Source organism: Homo sapiens, chromosome 17, assembly GCF_000001405.40.
Source record: "Homo sapiens chromosome 17, GRCh38.p14 Primary Assembly".
Taxonomy (NCBI): Eukaryota; Metazoa; Chordata; class Mammalia; order Primates; family Hominidae; genus Homo; species Homo sapiens.
Window position 1 is genome coordinate 28,050,256 of NC_000017.11, and position 18,947 is coordinate 28,069,202.

At 37.0% G+C, this 18,947-nt stretch overlaps 1 protein-coding gene across 4 annotated transcripts in view, besides 2 other annotated features; it reads left to right on the forward strand.

Annotated features, from left to right (window-relative positions):
• The window catches only part of NLK (nemo like kinase), a 163,398-nt gene that overhangs the window by 7,579 nt on the left and 136,872 nt on the right, over positions 1-18,947 (forward strand). The gene's annotated exons all lie outside the window — the stretch shown is intronic.
• Positions 7,931-7,980: an enhancer, noted in NCBI's record as "active region_11917". NCBI's record gives its function as "activates an Ori minimal core promoter by ATAC-STARR-seq in GM12878 lymphoblastoid cells {active_cell/tissue: GM12878}" and the evidence as "EXISTENCE:reporter gene assay evidence [ECO:0000049][PMID:35858748]".
• Positions 8,041-8,140: an enhancer, noted in NCBI's record as "active region_11918". NCBI's record gives its function as "activates an Ori minimal core promoter by ATAC-STARR-seq in GM12878 lymphoblastoid cells {active_cell/tissue: GM12878}" and the evidence as "EXISTENCE:reporter gene assay evidence [ECO:0000049][PMID:35858748]".

Genomic DNA, 18,947 nt, shown 5'->3' on the forward strand with positions numbered 1-18,947 from the left:
CCAATGGGGAAGGGCAGTCTAGGTGGAAGGGCCTATATGCAGGAGACTACAGGGCTGGAGATGCTGAATGTGCAGTGCAGTGGGTGGTAGGAAGTGTAAGCTAGAGCTCAATCATGAAGAGGTTGGAATGTCATGCTTGAGGCACTAAAAACAGCTTTTTATTAATAAAGCATATGTGGACATATAGCACATAAACAGTTAAATAGCATATCTGTGGTATTAAGATTTTACGAGGGGATGATTAGGAAAATAGCCTAAAAAGGCTCCGTAGGCGGGCAATGATGAGAAAAGGTTAAAACTGCGAATGGCAACTACTGAAAGTTTTTAAGTAAGAGAGACTTCGTCAGATTTAATTTTTTTTTTTGGATATGTAAAATAGAAGAGTAGAGAGAACTGAGATCTGTCTGAGTCTTAGGGAATGTTCTCAGTTGTAGGTGGAAGAAGCTACTGGAAGCAGAACTAAAGGGCAGTTAGGAAAATGTGTTCACAATGATTGACAATCTAAGTATGGCAGAAGATTGTTAGGAAAATGGGAGTGATCTTTGGTGCTGATAAAAAGTCAAAGAAGGCCGGCCATGGTGGTTCACACCTGTAAACCCAGCACTTTGGGTAGCTGAGGTGGGCATATCACTTCAGCCCAAGAGTTCGAGACCAGCCTGGACAACATAGTGAAATCTCATCTCCACTAAAAGTACAGAAAAAAAAAATTAGCCTGGTGTGGTGGCACGCACCTGTAGTCCCAGCTACTCAGGAGTCTGAGGTTGCAGTGAGCTGATATCACACCACTGCACTCCAGCCCGGGCGACAGAGTCAGAACCTGTCTCAAAAAAAAAAAAAAAAAAGTCAGAAAATTAAGATGGAGAAAAGGCCAAAAGGCCATTGTATTTAGCCTGATAGTAAATAGATCATTGATGGCATTTGAGAGAGTGATTGTGTTTGATTGATTCTAAAGAATGTCTTAAGTATTCAGTATTACTTTTTACAATTTTTTAAAATTATTAATACAATTCTTCCAAATCTCATTTGTTTGTTTGTTTGTTTGTTTGTTTGTTTTTAGTTTAATAAACCAGAGAACTTGATGTTCAAGGTGCCATTTCCTTGGGAAGGATTTTTTTTTTTTTTTGAGACAGAGTCTTCCGCTGTCACCAGGCTGGAGTGCAGTGGCATGATCTTGGCTCATGCAGCCTCCACCTCCCAGGTTCAAGGGATTCTCCTGCCTCAGCCTCCCGAGTAGCTGGGATTACAGGCACGTGGCACCACACCCGCCTAATTTTTGTATTTTTAGTAGAGACGGGGTTTCACCATGTTGGCCAGGATGGTCTCGATCTCTTGACCTCGTGATCGGCCTGCCTCGGCCTCCCAAAGTGCTGGGATTACAGTTGTGAGCCACTGCGCCCGGCTTTTTTTTTTTTTTTAAACAATGGGGTAATAGATTACTAAACTAAACTTGTTAGGAGACAAGGTTCTGGTCCTAGCCTTGCTGCCAACAACCCTGTGACCTTGGTAAAGTTATTTAAACTTTCTGAGCCTTGGTTTTCTCATTTATAAAATCCTGTGTTTCCTAAGATTCTATTATAAAATGATATTAATATTTGTTGGAGTTTGCTGGTGACCACAAGACAACTTTCTCTCTTCAGGACTACAGTGTTGAATAGCTTCTAAAATTGTTTAAAGGAGGAATGAGATAAATGTCACCCTGTTCCAGAGTGGTGACTTTTATAGAGTTTTCTAATTTGGGATTAGATTTTAAATGTTCATTTTTTTTTCATCAAGAGACTTGTTTTCTTCTATTACTGAGTTATTGGTAAGGATTATACATGTAGTTCAGCTGTGGAGAAGAGCAGGCCTGTTTGCAAATGAGCAATTTCTTCTACATGTCCATTTGATACTACTATTTTCCTGATAATATTTACCTTTTTAGTGTTTTAGACTTTAAAAACTTGCTTAGTTTCTTATAAGTCTTACAATAGTTTTCTTACAATATTTTGAGTGATTTTTAAATTTTTAAATAAAATTTAATGTTCAGTATTTTGTCATCTTTTGTGTGTGAGTAATCAGGTAAGATGATTTGGGAGCCAGTGCTTACATTAATTTGCAAGTTTCTTTAAAACAAATTTCTTTCCAGGAGTCTCTTTTAAATTCTGAATTTGGATAAGAGAGTTACTAGTTTGCATGTGGGCCTCCCAGAAAATGAGCTTTGACACAGCTTTCAGGCTGTAGTAGTTTAGGGCTTACAGTGCCCAAAGAGGGAGAGTGACTTCCTAAAGCTCTTGTCCAAGAGGAAGGGAGCATTTTTGCAGACACCCTCAGCAAACCAGCAGTGCTATCCAGTAAATACATAGTGAAAGTATGCAATCTTAAATTTTCTAGTAGCCACAGTAAAAAACTGAAAAGAAACAGGTGACATTAATTTTAGTAATGTATTTTAACTCTATATCCAAAATATTGTCATTTCAACATGTATTCACTATAAAAATTATTAATGATCTATATTACTTTTTTTTCATACTGAGTCTGCAAAATCACTATGTATCTTCATGCTTAGAATATGTCTCAGTTTGGTCTAACCACATTTTAAGTGTTCTGTAGCCACACATGGCTACTGACCAGCACCAGCATATTGATCTCTGGTGTTTTTTTTTTTTTTTTTTTGAGACAGTCTTGCTCTGTCACCACACCTGGCTATTTTTTTTATTTTTTTGTGGAGATGGGGTCTCACTTTGTTGCCCAGGCTAGTCTCAAACTCCTGGGCTCAAGCAGTTTGCCCACCTTGACCTCCCAAAGTGCTGGGATTACAGGCCTGAGCCACCGCACCTGGCCTCTCTTTGGCTTTTGTTGGATTACATACTCATTTCTGAACCAGTCACTGTCAATGAAGGTAAGATTACTTTTGGAGCAATCAGATCCACTTCTGGACCTGGAGATGGAGTCAGTTTTAAATGGGAGGGATGAATACCAGCAGTAAATGCCAGGAATGCAGTCATTAATGACCAAGATACTGCATTTGTCTGACTTGTGTCAGACTCAGAAGAACTTGAGTGGGTATATTTATGGAACAAACTGGAATAATGATCTCTATAGAGAAGTCCTGTCTGTCCTGAGTTATTTGGAGGCATTTTTCCTTTTCTTTTCTGAAGCTTTGTTTGCCTAAAGTAGCAGAAGGTAAATTTGGTACCTGATCGTTGCCATGTTTGCTTTCCTTCCCAGTTAGAGCAGATATCTCCTATTGATTTCTCTTTTTATCCTCTCCGTATTGTGGTTTTGTTATCTGGATAAGGTTCTCAGTCTTGTTTTCAATTTAAGTAGTATAGAGCTCAGTAGTGTCAGGCAGCAGACTTCTTACAGGGGAATGGACAACACAGAAACTTTTTGTTTATCCATTCTTTGACCTAAAATTCTTGCTCTGAGCTACAGAAAAAAGGTGAAAAGAGACATTTGAACAAATAGATAAAATTAGTCATTTGACCCAGATTGCAGCTTTTCTTCCTGTCTGCATGGATAAAAATGATCCGTCAATTTACATAAGCAGGTGATTTTTCTTACATGCTAATTTTCTTAATGTACCATGGCAGAGAGTTGCAGATTTGCAAATTGTGTAAGTTAATTGAAATAAGCCAGGTGACTTTATTTCACTGTATTATCTTACCAGTACAAAAGTACCCAAAGGGTACAATTATCAGGTGATTGTCTCATTGCACATCTAAATTAACATGCAGCCTGGTGCAGAGGGTTTTTCCCCACTTTCTTCTCCACTTCCCTCTCTTTTCTAATTTTTTAAAATAGGAAACTTGATTTCTATATTTACTTCAATAGAGCTGGAAATTTAGTAATACAGATGCGGAGGAAATTTGAGCTTTATTAAAAGTAATCCAGAAGCTATAAAAATTGGCAAGTAATGTGGTTATTGTGCAGAAGAAGGGGCTTGGTTTGGGTTTGAATTGCCTCAGAGAATTATGTGAGCATCTTCAACCATGTTTAATTGATTGGCTTCCTCTGTGTTCATTTTCCCAGGTTCTGCAGGTTACAGTAATTGGGGTTATCCTGAAGTTAACTGGGTGTATACCATAGCCAGCGTTCAAAGTAAATATTGACAGGCATTCTTTTAAAAACACAAGCTAATTAATTATAACACTGTTTAAAACATTTTAATAAAATTGAAATTTTTGAAAGGTGCAACAGTTGGTTATAGGGATTCTTTGCAGAAGATTTATGAGGACAAATAATGTCGACCAACAAAGCACCTTTCTTTATTAAGACTTTCAATATTAAACTTAATAATTAATGTTACTTAATTTCTCAGATGTTATAATATTCACTTAGTGATATATACAGGGATTAAATTATACTCCTTATAGCTTTGAAATAATGATTTGGAAAAGAATCATAATTTTAAGCTAGTAAAAGTTGGGCCAGTCTTGTTTCAGTTTAAAGAAAAATAATTTACAGGAACTTTTAGAACAAAAGCAGTTAAAGAATGACCTGAGGAGAACATTTAACATTTAAAGGGATAGTATGATTTAGTAGTCAAGGCTGGGCGCATTGGCTCATGCCTGTTACTCCAGCATTTGGGAGGCTGAGACCAGAGGATTGCTTGAGCCCTGGGCTTTGTAGCAAGAGCTCATCTCTACAGAAAATAAAAAATAAAAATTAGCTGGGTGTAGTGGCACACACTTTCAGTCCCAGCTATTTAAGAGGATAACTCTCTTTAAATCCTAGCTCTGCCCCTCATTATCTGTGGGTAAATTATTTTATCTCTATGTACCTCATGGTCTTCATGTATACAGCGGAGATAGTAATAGTATTCCAGTAATTGTAGGGTTGTTGTGGGGATTTTTTTTTCTTTTTTTTTTTTTTTTGAGACGGATTCTCGCTCTGTCACCAGGCTGGAGTGCAGTGGCGTGATCTTGGCTCACTGCAGCCTCTGCCTCTCGGGTTCAAGCAATTCTTCTGCCTCATCTTCCCGAGTAGCTGGGACTACACGCACACGCCACCACTCCCAGCTAATTCTTATATTTTTAGTAGAGACGGAGTTTCACCATGTTGGCCAGGATGGTCTCAATCTCTTGACCTCATGATTTGCCCACCTCGGGCTCCCGAAGTGCTGGGATTACAGGCATGAGCCACCTTGCCAGGTTGGATTTTTTTTTTTTAGTATAGTGGTGCCTTGAACTCCTGGGCTCAAGTGATCCTCCCACCTCAGCCTCCTGAGTAGCTGGGACTGTAGGTGTAACCCACTACACCCAGCTGTTTTTTTATTTTTTAAGAGGTGGTGGTCCTGGGAGTCTTGCCATGTTGTCCAGGCTGGTCTCAAACTCTTGTCCTCAAGCAGTTCTCCCACCTCAGCCTCCCAAGTAGCTGGGATTATAGACATGAGCCACTGTGTCTGGCTGTTGTGAGGATTAAATGAATTATTATATATTTAAAGTCTTAGAGCTATGTTTGGCATTATGTAAATGTTAGCTATCACAATTATTATTACTGGTTTCAGTATGAGTGAAAAAAATAGTACCTCATGAAAACTTACTAATTTAGGGAAAATAAACAGCTTTTGTGTGATGGTTGACAGGTATCAGGTATGTGACTTCACTAGAGATTTTTTTCTGATTAACTCCAACTGTTTTTGAAAAATTCATTCAAATTCTAGAATGCTTTCCAAATGTAAAATTTTCTTTAGCACATAAAAGGAAGGTTTTTTTCTTTGTTTTTCACCCTCCTCCTTATTATCAGAGTAATAGTATGTTTATTGTAGGACCCTTGAAAAACGCAGAAGAGCTGAAAGGAAAAACAGTTGTTTGTAACCTACAACTCAGAGATAACCACTGATAGCATTTTGGTGTATTGTTTACAAGACTTTGACCTGGTATGCGTGGGTGTGTTTGTAGTATTATTTAGAGTTGGGATCATGATCACACTGTATTTACAATTTTGTATCCTGTTTGTTTCACTAACATTGCAGAATGAGATTTCAGTCATTTGTTTTGAGGGCTTTTTCATTCTCACAAGCCTAGAGCTCTGCCTCAAAGAAACTAGAGAGTTGGAAGATACTTTAGAATGCGTCTAGTCTAGCTGCCTCATTTTATAAGTGGGAAAATTGAGACCCAGAGAAGCTAAGAGATTTGTTCAACGTTGCACAGCTGGTTGGGGGCTGAGCCAGAGTTTTTGCTGTTTTGCTGCTTTACCAGTAATACCTGTCCAACTAAATGCCTATTGAAAATGGAGGAAGTGTTCTTACAAAAACAAAACAAATAAAAAATGAAAACTCTATATAAATGAAACCAGGAACGTGCATCTGAGAAAAACCATGGAATATTTAGATTAATCTGTTGGTTATTTTGTGTGGGCCAGTGACTCTGATTAAATGTTTTCTGATTAAATGTCACAGACTACAAGATTTTTGGTGAAGAACAACTCAGTCTTTTCATGTTATATGTAACTAAGTTGTATATCTATTTTGAGCATATCATTCTTCCACCTATTTTTTGAAAACTTTTAAACCTCAGGAAATTTGAAAGAATTGTATGATATATCCAATGTAACTAAGTTGTATATTTATTTTGAGCATATCATTCCCCTACCTATTTTTTGAAAAGTTTTAAACCTCAGGAAATTTGAAAGAATTGTATGATATATCCAGAAACTGCACTCCTAGATTTCTTCTCAATTAACATTTTGTGACTTCTGCATTACCTACCTTTTTTTTTTTTTTTTTTTTTTTTGAGATGAAGTTTTGCCCTTGTTGCCCAGGCTGGAGTGCAATGGCGCGATCTTGGCTCACTGCAACCTCCGCCTCCCGGGTTCAAGCGATTCTCCTGCCTCAGCCTCCTGAGTAGCTGGGATTACAGGCATGCACCACCACGCCCGGCTAATTTTTGTATTTTTAGTAGAGAGGGGGTTTCTCCATGTTGGTCAGCCTGGTCTCGAACTCCTGATGTCAGGTGATCCACCCGCCTCGGCCTCCCAAAGTGGTGGGATTACAGGCGTGAGCCACCACGCCCAACTGCATTACCTACTTTGAGGCTATTTCTACAGAATTTGCGGAGGTTGGGTTATGATTAATTTAAGACTTATACAGTGTTAAGAAATTTGTGGTCACTGCATCAACTCACTGTTCCATGTAATGAATTTTGTAAGCTCTCCAACTAGAGAAGGAACTCGAAGTTTTAAAGCTTGTGACTATTTTGGAATGCTATTCATTCTCTTAATAATTAAAACAAAATTCAGTGTAAATCAAATGTGTAAATCAAACATGTACCAGTCAAAACTGAGCTTCAGGCAGTATAGAAATATTCCATTCTACAAACTTTTTTTTGTTGTTGTGGTTTTTATCTCAGGTTGAGACTTAAGGGAACATTTTCAAAATAGTGTAAGATCTGGTTTCACAATTCTGTGACAGAGGACATGATTTTATTGTTGAAGTTAAATTTTAAGTTATTGTAGCTTTTTTTAAAGTAAATTACCCTAATGCAGTCATATGAGCTGATGATGCTATGATTTGTGTCACTGCTCTGTATTTTTCAGTACCAAATAATTCCTTTGTTAAACTCATTTTCAGTAAATGAGCCATTGTTTCCCCAAGGGTAATGATTATTTCCCCTATATATAGTACAAAGCCTTGAGAAATAGATTTTTAAATCTAAAATATGAGTTAATGATTGGAAAAGGCTGAAATCATCACTGTGTCAACTGTATGTGTGAAAAGGGCAACTGCTGTGTTTGCTGCCTAGGCTACAATATAAGATACTATGTTTACAAGAAATCCAATGACAGCAAGGCTTTAAAAGTGAGGTCTTTCAGTTTAGATGCAAAAAGGGTGGTTCTGTTGAGTCAACCCAGCTATTTCACTACATAGTTTCGTAATGTAAACACCTAGAATGAGGTAGCTGGAGTGCAAATCTAAATGGCTTGTGACAGTTAAGGAAGTACATAGGCAACAGTTACTGGTTTTCTTGATGCAGCTGATATCAGTATCTTCAAATAAATCACTGACTTAAAGTACCTCAGCAGGAAAGACATTAAATAGGGACACCGTAATGTTTAACTGGTATAGGTGCTGAAGGTCTAGTTATCAACATCTATCAGCTTGTCTCTGTAGGTGGGCAAACTTTAAATAACTAGTTTTTGTACCCTGATTTTCTTTTCCTCTTAAAGTAGATACTCATTCTTGAAGACAATCTGTTTCTTTCAATGCTAATGTAAGTGCTTATAACCACTTGTGACATGTTCTCTACCCACCGATCCACTAAAAATGATGAGAGTTTCGAAGATTCGGGTCATGTCTTAGTTGCTTCTTCAGAGCCTAGCCTGGTCCCATGATGGGTGCCTGTTGGTTGCTGAATTGAAAGCTTCTAGGCTGGGCATGGTGGCCCATGTGTGTATTCTCAGCTACTCAGCCTACTTAGGAGGCTATGGCAGGAGGCGCTTTTGAGCCCAGGTGTTTGGGATTTTAGTATGCAATGATTGCTCCTGTGAATAACCACTGCATCTAGCCTGGGTGACATAGCAAGACCCATCTCTATGTAAAAAAGGAAGAAAGTTTCCAATGCTGAGTTTGTATGTGATGGTGACTCTGAAAGAAGAGTACCGTCAGCAGCCAGGCGCCATGGCTTACACCTGTAATCCCAGCACTTTGGGAGGCCAAGGCAGGTGGATTGCTTGAGCTCACGAGATCAAGACCAGCCTGGGCAACATGACAAAACCCCGTCTCTACTGAAAATACAAAAATTAGCTGGACATGGTGGAGTGTGCCTGTAGTCCCAGCTACTTGGGAGGCTGAGGTGGGAGCATGGCTTGAGGCCAGGAGGCAGAGGTTGCAGTGAGCTGAGATTGTGCCACTGTACTCTAGCTTGGTCAACAGAGCCAGATCCTGTCTCAAAAAAAAAAAAATAAAGTACTATAGTTGGTTCTTGCCATTATGTATTAAAAGATCCCGATTTCTTCACACACTGGCGGAATTTTTATGAGAGGACACTTGTTATTATTTATTATTATTATTATTTAGACCCAACCCGATGGTATTGGTTTTGTTTTCTTATGTTTGGATTTTTTATTTTTTTTTAAGAGTGAGAGCTCTAATCTAAAAATAGTATATGGTAACCAACTATGTCCAGAAATAGTCCTTTATTTTGAAAAGAAATAGTCCTTTATTTATACTGTTTTCTATAATCTACATAAAGTTAAGAATGCTATTGAACTGTTTAGGGAAATACCCTTTTCTTTGCAGTACTGTGATCTATGTTAGAAAAATAGAGATCCAGTTAATAGAAACTGTGTCCAAAGTCTTATCTAATATATCAAAACATACCAAAGTAGTCTGCGATGCTAGAGTAGAAAAAAAAGTTCAATTCTAAGCTCTTTATTCTGTTTTATAAACGTATGAATAAATGGCAATTTAGTGTATACTAGAGATCCTTTTTCAAATTAGTGAACAAAGAATGGTTTATTCCAGTGGTATGGTGGCATATGTTTAACAACAGGCTCTCTGAAAAATAAAAAAGCTGTAGTTTAGGGTTTGCTGATCTCTGTGGTGTAAATACTATAATGGCCAATTTCAAACCACTAATGTGAAGTCACTAAATGCTGAATTGGAGAAAGATATGCACTAGCACGCCCTTATATGGTATTTTCATCATACAGATAAAATAGGTGTTAGATAACCTTAAGAGCATAAATCATAATAAAATAACTAGGGAGTGATGATTCCTAAGTATTTGTTACCTTTGTTTTAAATATGATTTATTTTATTCTAAGTTTATATAACATAGTTTTTTATGGTTATGTTTCACAGTCAGCTTACAAAATTCCAGAAAAATGTAACTGTCATGAGCAGCATGCACCAGTCCCAGCACACTGGTTTATTTTGTTGGGATACTTAGCAAGCAGTGGGGAAGAATAAAGTTTATATTCATTATATACAAAAATGAAGTCCAAGTGGATTAAAGATTTTAAGAAACAAAGCCAAAAAATAAGAAAATATAACTTTTTATAATCTTGGAGGGAAAGACACTATTGACTTTAAAGCAAGAAAAGAACATCAGATTTGTCTATGAAGACATCTAAGATGTGTATTTGGTAAAATATACCATAAAAAAATGCCTAAAAGAAAAAGCAAAATCTAGGGAGAGGATATTAGCAATATATGTGAAAAATAAAAGTTAATATCTTTAATATTAAAAGAGCTCTCTTTTTTACTTTTTAAAAATAGAGACAGGGTTTCACTATGTTGCCCAGACTGGTCTCTAACTCCTGAGCTCAGATGATCCTCCTGCCTCCGTCTTCCAAAGTGCCGGGATTACAAGCATGAGCCACCACACCCAGCCTAAAGAGCTCTTAAAATCAACAAGAAATACACTTGAAGAACCCAACAGAGAATGGGCAAAAGCTAGAGAATGGGCACATAGAAGAAATACAAATTGTTAAAAAACATTAAAGGATTTCACTTTCGTTAATAAACATGCAGAAATAGATAACACTTTTAAACTGCTAGATATTTTAAAGTAATAATCCTAGTTGTTGCAGATGTAGTGAAACACACACACACTCAAATTTTTTATGATAGCATGGATGGATGGAGTCTTGATTGGAGAGCAGTTTCGCAAAATTGAATGCACACGCTCTTTGGAGCAATCATTGACCTTAGATACAAAGATATATTTATAAGGATGTTCATTTACTGTTATTTATCATCCTCCCAGATTGAAAGCAACCTAAATGTCTATGAGTAGTAGAGTGGTCATCTTTGAAATATACCCACAATTTATTAAATGAAAATCTGTATCAGTGACCACTTAAGATGGGGTCTGGCTCTGACACCCAGGCTGGAGTTCAGTGGTGCAATCATAGCTCACTGCAGCCTTGAACTCAGGCTCAAGCGATCCTCCACAGCCTCCTGAGGGCCAGTTAGTTTTAAATAGACTCCTGTAGTAATCAAGTTGCTGAGAGTTGGAGGTTGATGTACGAGTTTATCCAGTTTCAGTGTTTTACCATTCTGTAATTCTATGAGCTATTTTTAAAAGGTGTCTATAACCTTAAAGTTAGAAGCAAATTGAAAAAAAGACATTAAAAGAAAAATGGTCTTGAACGAACCCAGAGATGATTTTTCTGCTGCCTTAGTTATGTATGATTCAACAGTGCTAGTGACAAAAGTAGCACCAGCTAATTTGTGTGATATTTCAATGTCACTTGAGTTTCTAACGTGAATTTGAGAGTAATATAAGTTATTACATGGTTTGTGGAGGCCTCAGCTGTAAGACACTTCATGGTATCTGGATGTCTTCTAAATACCACAGAATACGAAAGTGGCTAATGAGAGTCTGTTATTCCTTAAAACTAGAAATGCAATTTTATTTCCTTAGAAGTTTTATTTTGTAACTTGAAGATAGAGGAGACACAAAGAGGTCATTTTGTCTGGTATACTAGATTAATGCCCTAGTAATTGGTGATTTCTACCTCCAGTTTTTCTGTACAAATTTCTCAAATCATTATTTCATATATATATACATATATACACATATACATATATACATATACATATATAATATATACATATATACATATACATATATAATATATACATATATACATATACATATATATAATATATAATATATACATATACATATATATAATATATACATATATACATATACATACATATATACATATATATACATATATATATATATTTTTTTTTTTTTTAAGAAAACAGTGCCATCATGTCAGCTTTAGTTCAAGCAGTTGCTTCCTCTTGCTGGACTTTCCATCCATCTAATCCCTGAGCTGGGGTTCCAGACCTGGAGGTGCCTTCTGACACTTAAAAAAATGCCATGTACTTTAGTGGGGAAAGTTTCGGAAGTGTTGCCCGTTAAAACTGCATAAATAAGACTGGGATATTAAAGTGTCAGAAAGAGAGAGCGAGAGTTATAGATGGAGCAGCCTGTTGGCATTTTTCTGAGGATGTCTAGAATGGTGACTCCATAGTCCTCATTTAGTGGCTTAATTCAGACTTTTATTGCCCTCATGATCAAAAGAGTTCTGTGTCTAATACTAACTTTTTGACCATTTCCTATCATTTGGTTCTCTTTTTCTTAATGTAAATACCATTATTGAACTTCATATAACACTTAGGAAGCTGCTGAAGATGACTGAAGTTTCTTAAAATGACTGTATAGATTTTTAGTCCTTTTAAAAATCAAAACCTGGAATTGTACAGTGTTTTAAGAAAACATTTTTAAAATTTACTATAATGCATGCTGTTCAGATAATGATGAAAAGTTTAATATTAAAGCCATGTGTATTATAATCTGAGTCACACAACAAACCATAGGATAAATAACGTTTTTCTTTTTTGAGACAGTCTCATTCTATTGCCCAGGCTGTAGTACAGTGGTGCAGTCACAGCTCACTGCAACCTCTGCCTCCCGGGTTCAAGCGATTCTCCTGCCTCAGCCTCCTGCATAGCTGGGACTACAGGTGTGTGCCACCACATCCGGCTAATTTTTGTGTTTTTAGTAGAGATGGGGTTTCACCATGTTGGCCAGGCTGGTCTCAAACTCCTGACCTGAAGTGATCCACCCACCTCAGCCTCCCAAAGTGTTGCGATTACAGGCGTGAGCCACTGCACCCTGCCGGGATAAATAACTTTTATCAAAAATTATTAAATTAAGACAGATTGACGATATTTTTATTTTTTATTTTGGTTTTTGAGACAGCTCTGTCGCCCAGGTTGGAGTGCAGTGGCACGATCGTGGCTCACTGTAGCCTCAAGCTGCCCAGGCTCAGGTGATCTTCCCATCTCAGCCTCCCAAGTAGCTGGGACTATAGGCGTACACCACCATGTCTGGCTAATTTTTTTGTATTTTGTAGAGATGGGGTTTTGTTATGTTGTCCAGGCTGTTCTCAAACTCTTGGGATCAAGCTCTCCGCCCACTTTGGCCTCCCAAAGTGCTGGGATTACAGGCATAAGCCATGGCGACTGGCAACATTTTTAGTTTTAAGAAGTCATTTCTTATCTTTTTCTCTTTGTTACATTGTTAGTCTGATAACACAGTGAGAACATCTTAACCTCAAATAAACACTGTTGAGTACTCTCAATGTTGGATACTTCAGTTTATAGTTTAATATGGCATCCAAGAGGAAAAAGAATTTAAAATCGAGGATGATTTATATATATACACTTTTTTCATCAGTCTATTCATTTTCTCATCTCATTTCTCGGGGTTTGGGTTTAAAAAACAATCAATTTTTTGAACTGTTTTGTAAAAAGTATTCACTAAAATTTAGCTCTCCTGAGGGGAGGTAATTTTACCATCTGATAGTTCTTTTATGTTTTGTCTCTGTTTACATAAAGTTCCTAATTCCTGTTCTCCAAAGATACTGCTTATATAGTCAAACTTGTAGAAGTTTTATTCCCTCACCCTCATAAAAATTCAATTAGTAATATGGAACACCTTATTCCTCACTCTTTATTCTCTGGAGCTTTGCGACAAATAGGAGGTTAGCAGAAAAGAATTGTGACAAAATGAGAAAGGCTTAGAAGTGCATTTGGAAGCTAAGAATAATTAAACTGAACGAAATGAGACAAGAGTGTTGATTTACCTGTTGAAAAACTGCAAGCCTTGACAAAAGGTAAAATAATGTTTTATGGAAAACCTACCAAAGTAATGGGTCTGTTCTTTAGCCCTTTGAATAGTTTAAATAGCTGTGATTTCAGTTCAGTAGTTGGGTGAATGTTCAGGTTTGAGATGTCAAAATAATCTACTGAACATAAATATACGAGTTTGCAACACTTTTAGTGATAATTTTTCAGGAACATAGTAGGCTTATCAAATTTGCTGATCAGAGGAAGTCAAGAAGGATGGCTAACATAGTAGTTAACAGGTATTCAGAGAGCTGAATTTAGAGTCATCTTTAAGTTAGCAAACTTTTTTTTTTTTTTTTTTTTTTTTTAAAGAGACAAGGTCTCACTGTCTTGAACTCCTGGACTCAAGTAATCTTCCCATCTTGGTCTCATGAGTAACTAGGGCTATGGGCATGTAACACCAAGCCTGGCTAATTTTTTTATTTTAAAATATTTTGTGTAGAGACGAGATCTCTCTGTATTGCCCAGGCTGCTCTCAGACTTCTGGCCTCAAGTGATCCTCCTGCCTCTTTTCCCAAAGTGTTGGGATTATATAGGCTTGAGCCACTGCACCTGGTAGTTAGCAGACTATTTATTGAAGGCCTGTATACTAGGCTTTGAGTCCTGAGGGTAGACTGGGAACAAAATTAATATCATATGAAGCAGGTAAGACAGACATTTAACACATTATTTTTTAAAAAAAGTTTTTCAGGGATGGGGTCTCATTATGTTGCCTAGGCTGTCCTTGAACTCCTAGGCTCAAGCAGTCCTCTTGACTCAGCCTCCCAAGTAGCTGGGACTACAGGTATATGCCACTGGGCCTGGCTTAAACAAATCATTTTAAATGTGCAGTCTTTTAAGATAGTCTACCTAGATTCACATTCTGCTGTTTTTTATTGGCCATGTGCCTTTCGGCAAATTGCTTTACTGCTTTGTGTCTCAGCTTTCTCTTCTATAACATAGGGGTTATAATGGTACCTATCTTAGGTTCTTATGAAAATTAAATGTGATAATGTGTATAAAATGCTACAGTGGCTTGCCTGTAGTCAACACTCAATAAATATTAGCTGTTTTAATTGTTATCTCTTAGCACTTTCCATCTTTGTTTTATGGAGAAAAACAGTGATTAATTAGAAAATCCTAATTTAACCTAGTCCAAATTATAAGGTCAAGGAAGCTTCCTTGACATAATTCCTACCCGGGAGAAACTTATACTTGAATATTTATAAACAAATTGCAATAAAGATATATAAATACAGATAAGTACAGAATGGTTACTGTGGGAAGATATAGATGGGATACCAAGGGCCTCAGTTTGTACAATTCTGATGTGACAATGTTTACATTATGTTATGAATGGTACCCCCCTGCAGTTGGCAGTGTAGTTTTTTTCTAGGCAGTGTAGGCCTGATTAGGGGAGTGATATTTGAGTTAAATTTTGATGATGACAGGGGATGAGGGAGAAGGGCAGCTCAAGCAGAGGGAATTTCATGTACAAAGTCAGTGAATAAGAGATGGCAGTGTTTGGGGACCTGGAATTGGTTCATTATGGTTAGAATGTAGGATGAATGTGATCGCTAAGAGATGAGAACAAGAGGTTGGATTATGAAGGACCCTTTTTGCTTTATTAATACCTTGAGATTTTATCTGAATCTGGGAAGCTATTGAATGACTTAAATGATTAAAATGATCAGATTTATTTTTAGAAGGTGGCTCAGGCAATACTAAGAAGAATGGTTTGGAGTAGGAACAGGTCTAGAAGCTGGGAGAAGGTAGTTGTAGTAGTCTAGGTGAATGTTCCTCCTAGTGTGGACCCAAACTTTATTACAAATTGGCAGTGATAAATAAAAACATTTCTCCTTATCCCATAACTTGCTTGAGGCTCATTACTAGATATTTAGAAACTTTCATGGCAGTTTGACATGGTTCATGGTATATAACCTTTGTTGGGCCTTCAGTGTTCTCTAGCAAGTCTTAGACTTGTCTCAAGTCAGCTCATTTCTCCACTGCTCACACAGCTATTTCTAACCACTACCACTTTCCTCAAGTTCCTACTCCACCTCTTCCTCAGTTTCTACAGATGACTTCATTCCCCTATTTCACAGAGAAGATAAAGCCAAGGGATGCAGGAACTGGGTAACTTCCTGTTACACCCACAGACGAAGTTATGTCAACGTAGCTTTCCTTTACTTTTCAGTCTCCAGATCCTGTTCTCTTCCAGTTTTTCCAGAGGCTTTACTCCACTATTATCTTCTTTCAGGTGTTCAACCTCTGCCCCTCTCCCTTTCCTCTTACCCTGTAAACTTACTGAAACCTCATCCCTAAATTCAACCCTCATCCTCTAGATTACCAGTCTAACCTCTTTCTTTCCCTTCGCAGCCAAGGTCCTTGAAAATGTAGTTGTCCATCACTGTCTCTGCCTCTTCATCTTTCATTTATTCACAGTCCACTGTGCAGTCATTTCTACATATACCATATACCATACAGCCCAAACTGCTCTGACAAATACATGACCTGTTATTAACTAGCAGTTAAGTACCAAATCCAGTGGGCACATTTCAGTCCTTACGATTTATGTTGCATGTACTAATAGTTTGTTCTTGTTCATTGTATTAATATATCACAACTTTAAAACCCTCTTCACCTGTTGATGGACATTTAGGTTGTTTGCAGTTTTTGGTTATTACAAATAAAATTGGAATGAATATTCATTTACAATATTTCTGTGGACATAGGCTTTCATTTCTCTTGGGTAAATACCTAGGAGTGGAATGACTGGTTCAAATTATATGTTCAAGCTTAAAAGAAACTACCAAACTGTTTTCCAAAGCAATCGCAATTTGCATTCCCACCAACAAGGTATAAAAGTTCCAGTTGCTTGTGAGCATTTGGTGATATCCAATTTTTTCTTCCTAATTTTAGCCATTTTAATAGGTATGTAATACTGTTTATAGTGGTTTTGCATTTCCCTAATAACTCAAGATGTTGAGCATCTTTTCAAGTGCTTATTAGCTGTCTCTGTATCCTTTTTTGTAAAGTATCTATTCAAGCCTTTGCCCATATTTTAATTGGGTGGCTTTCTTAATAGTAGGTTTTGAATGATCTTTACATATTCCGGATATAAATCCTCTTTCAGATACGTGATTTGCAAATATTTTCTCCCAGTCTGTAGTTCCTTTTTAAAAAAATTCTCCTGAGTGTCTTTTGCAATACAAACATTTTAATTTTGGTGAAGTCCAGTTGATCCACTTTTTCTTTTCAGATCATAACTTTTGGTGTTAAATCTAGAAACTCTTTGCCTGACCCAGGTCATGAAGAATTCTGCGTTTTCTTCTAAAAGTTGTATAGTTTAATGGTTTACACTGAAGTCTGTATTTCATGTTTGGGTTAGTTTTTGTACTAGATGTGAAGTTTAGGTAGACCTTTATTTTTATTTTTATGTTTTTTACAAAAAGAACATCTATTCATTTATTGAAGTTTTAACAATTTTTATGTACATGGACAATGCTTGCACACAAAGTCAGCATTCTAATGCACTTTCATGGAGTCAAATTTGCAAAACATGCATAAAACAAATTAGAACTCTCTAACAGTCTCTATGCAATTTATATCTCCAGTATTGGAAATGATGTGAAGATTAAATACATGGCACAGAGAATTGTTTAAAAAAAAAAAAAGGCTGACAATTAAAAGTAGTGGAAAAAAATTTTTAAAAGAAAAAACTAAAAAAATTCAATATATAAAAAAACTGGCATTAGGGATAGATTTGGGCAGTTAGCATGGAGATAGTTCATAAGATCTGGTCAAACATGATGCAACTATCCTGTGATGGTGACTTTTGGGATCTTAGATGTTAGAGATTGAGACTTTGGGGATTTTGCTCTTTTGGGATTTCAACACTGAGGATTATGGCGTTCAAAATTGTGTCTCGGTATTGTGATCCAAACTGTAGGTAGACCTTCTTAAAATATATATATATATATATATGGTCTGGGCATGGTGGCTCACACCTATAATCCCAGCACTTTGGGAGGCCATGGCAGGTGAATCACCTGAGGTCAAGAGTTTGAGACCAGCCTGGCCAACATGGTGAAACCCCACCTCTACTAAAAATACAAAAATTAGCAGGGCATGGTGGTGCACGCCTGTAATCCCAGCTACTCAGGAGGCTGAGGTAGGAGAATTGCTTGAAGCCGAGAGGTGGAGGTTGCAGTAAGCCGAGAGGGAGCCACCACACTCCAGCCTGGGCCACAGAGCGAGACTCCGTCTCAAAAAAAAAAAAAAAAAAATATGGATGTTCGATTGTTCCAATACCATTTGTTGAAAAGTTTGTCCTTTCTCCATTGATTTGCCTTTATACTTTTCTCATAAAATTAATTGGCCATAGTTGTGTGTCTCATTTCTTCTTTAACCTATAGATTGCTTAGAAGTGTGTTTTTAATTTTCTTTTTTTCTTTTTAGTCAAGTGCAGTAGTCAGAAGGGGGAAAGAGTAAAATAAGGAGTTGTATTTGGAACTGACTGAACAATCAAGGGAACTTAATATCTTCAGATGATCCTGTTTTTAATTTTCAAAAATGATATTTGTTTTTAGGTTACTATCTTGTGATATAATTTTGTTGTGATTAGAATATGTGGTTTGCGTGATTGATACCATTTTGGGGGGGAATTTGTTGAGATTTACCTTGTGGCCTTGTATGTGATCACTATTTATAAATATCCTTTTGTTTTTAAAACGTATATTTATTCTGCAGTTGATTAATGTTTTGTATATGTCCACTAAAGTTTGCTAATTGTATTTTAATTTTTAAAATTTTTTCTATTTTTTAGAGACAAGATCTCTTTCTGTTGCCCAAGCTAGAATGCAATGGCATGATCATAGCTCACTGTAACCTCAAACTTGTGAGTTCAAGTGATCCCCTGCTGCAGCCTTCAGAGTAGCTGGGACTATAGGCATGTGCCACCACACCAGGCTAATTTTTAAAATTTTTATAGAGATGGGATCTCACTATGTTGCCCAAGCTGGTCTTGAACTCCTGGGCTCAAGCGATCCTCACGCCTCAGCCTCCCAATGTGCTGGAATTACAGGTGTAAGCCACACACCTAGCCTTTTTTGATGTGTTTCTACTATAGTAAGTACCACCCAATCAAGATACAGAACATTTTATCACCCCAGAAAGTTCACTCAAGTAAATTCTACCATGCATCCCCCTCCCCCTGCCCTAGGCAGCCACTTTTTTGGTTTCTGTCATCTTTGATTAGTTTTGCTTGTTCTTAGATTTTATATAGATAGAATCTTACAATATGTATGTACTCTTATGTGCGAGGCTTCTT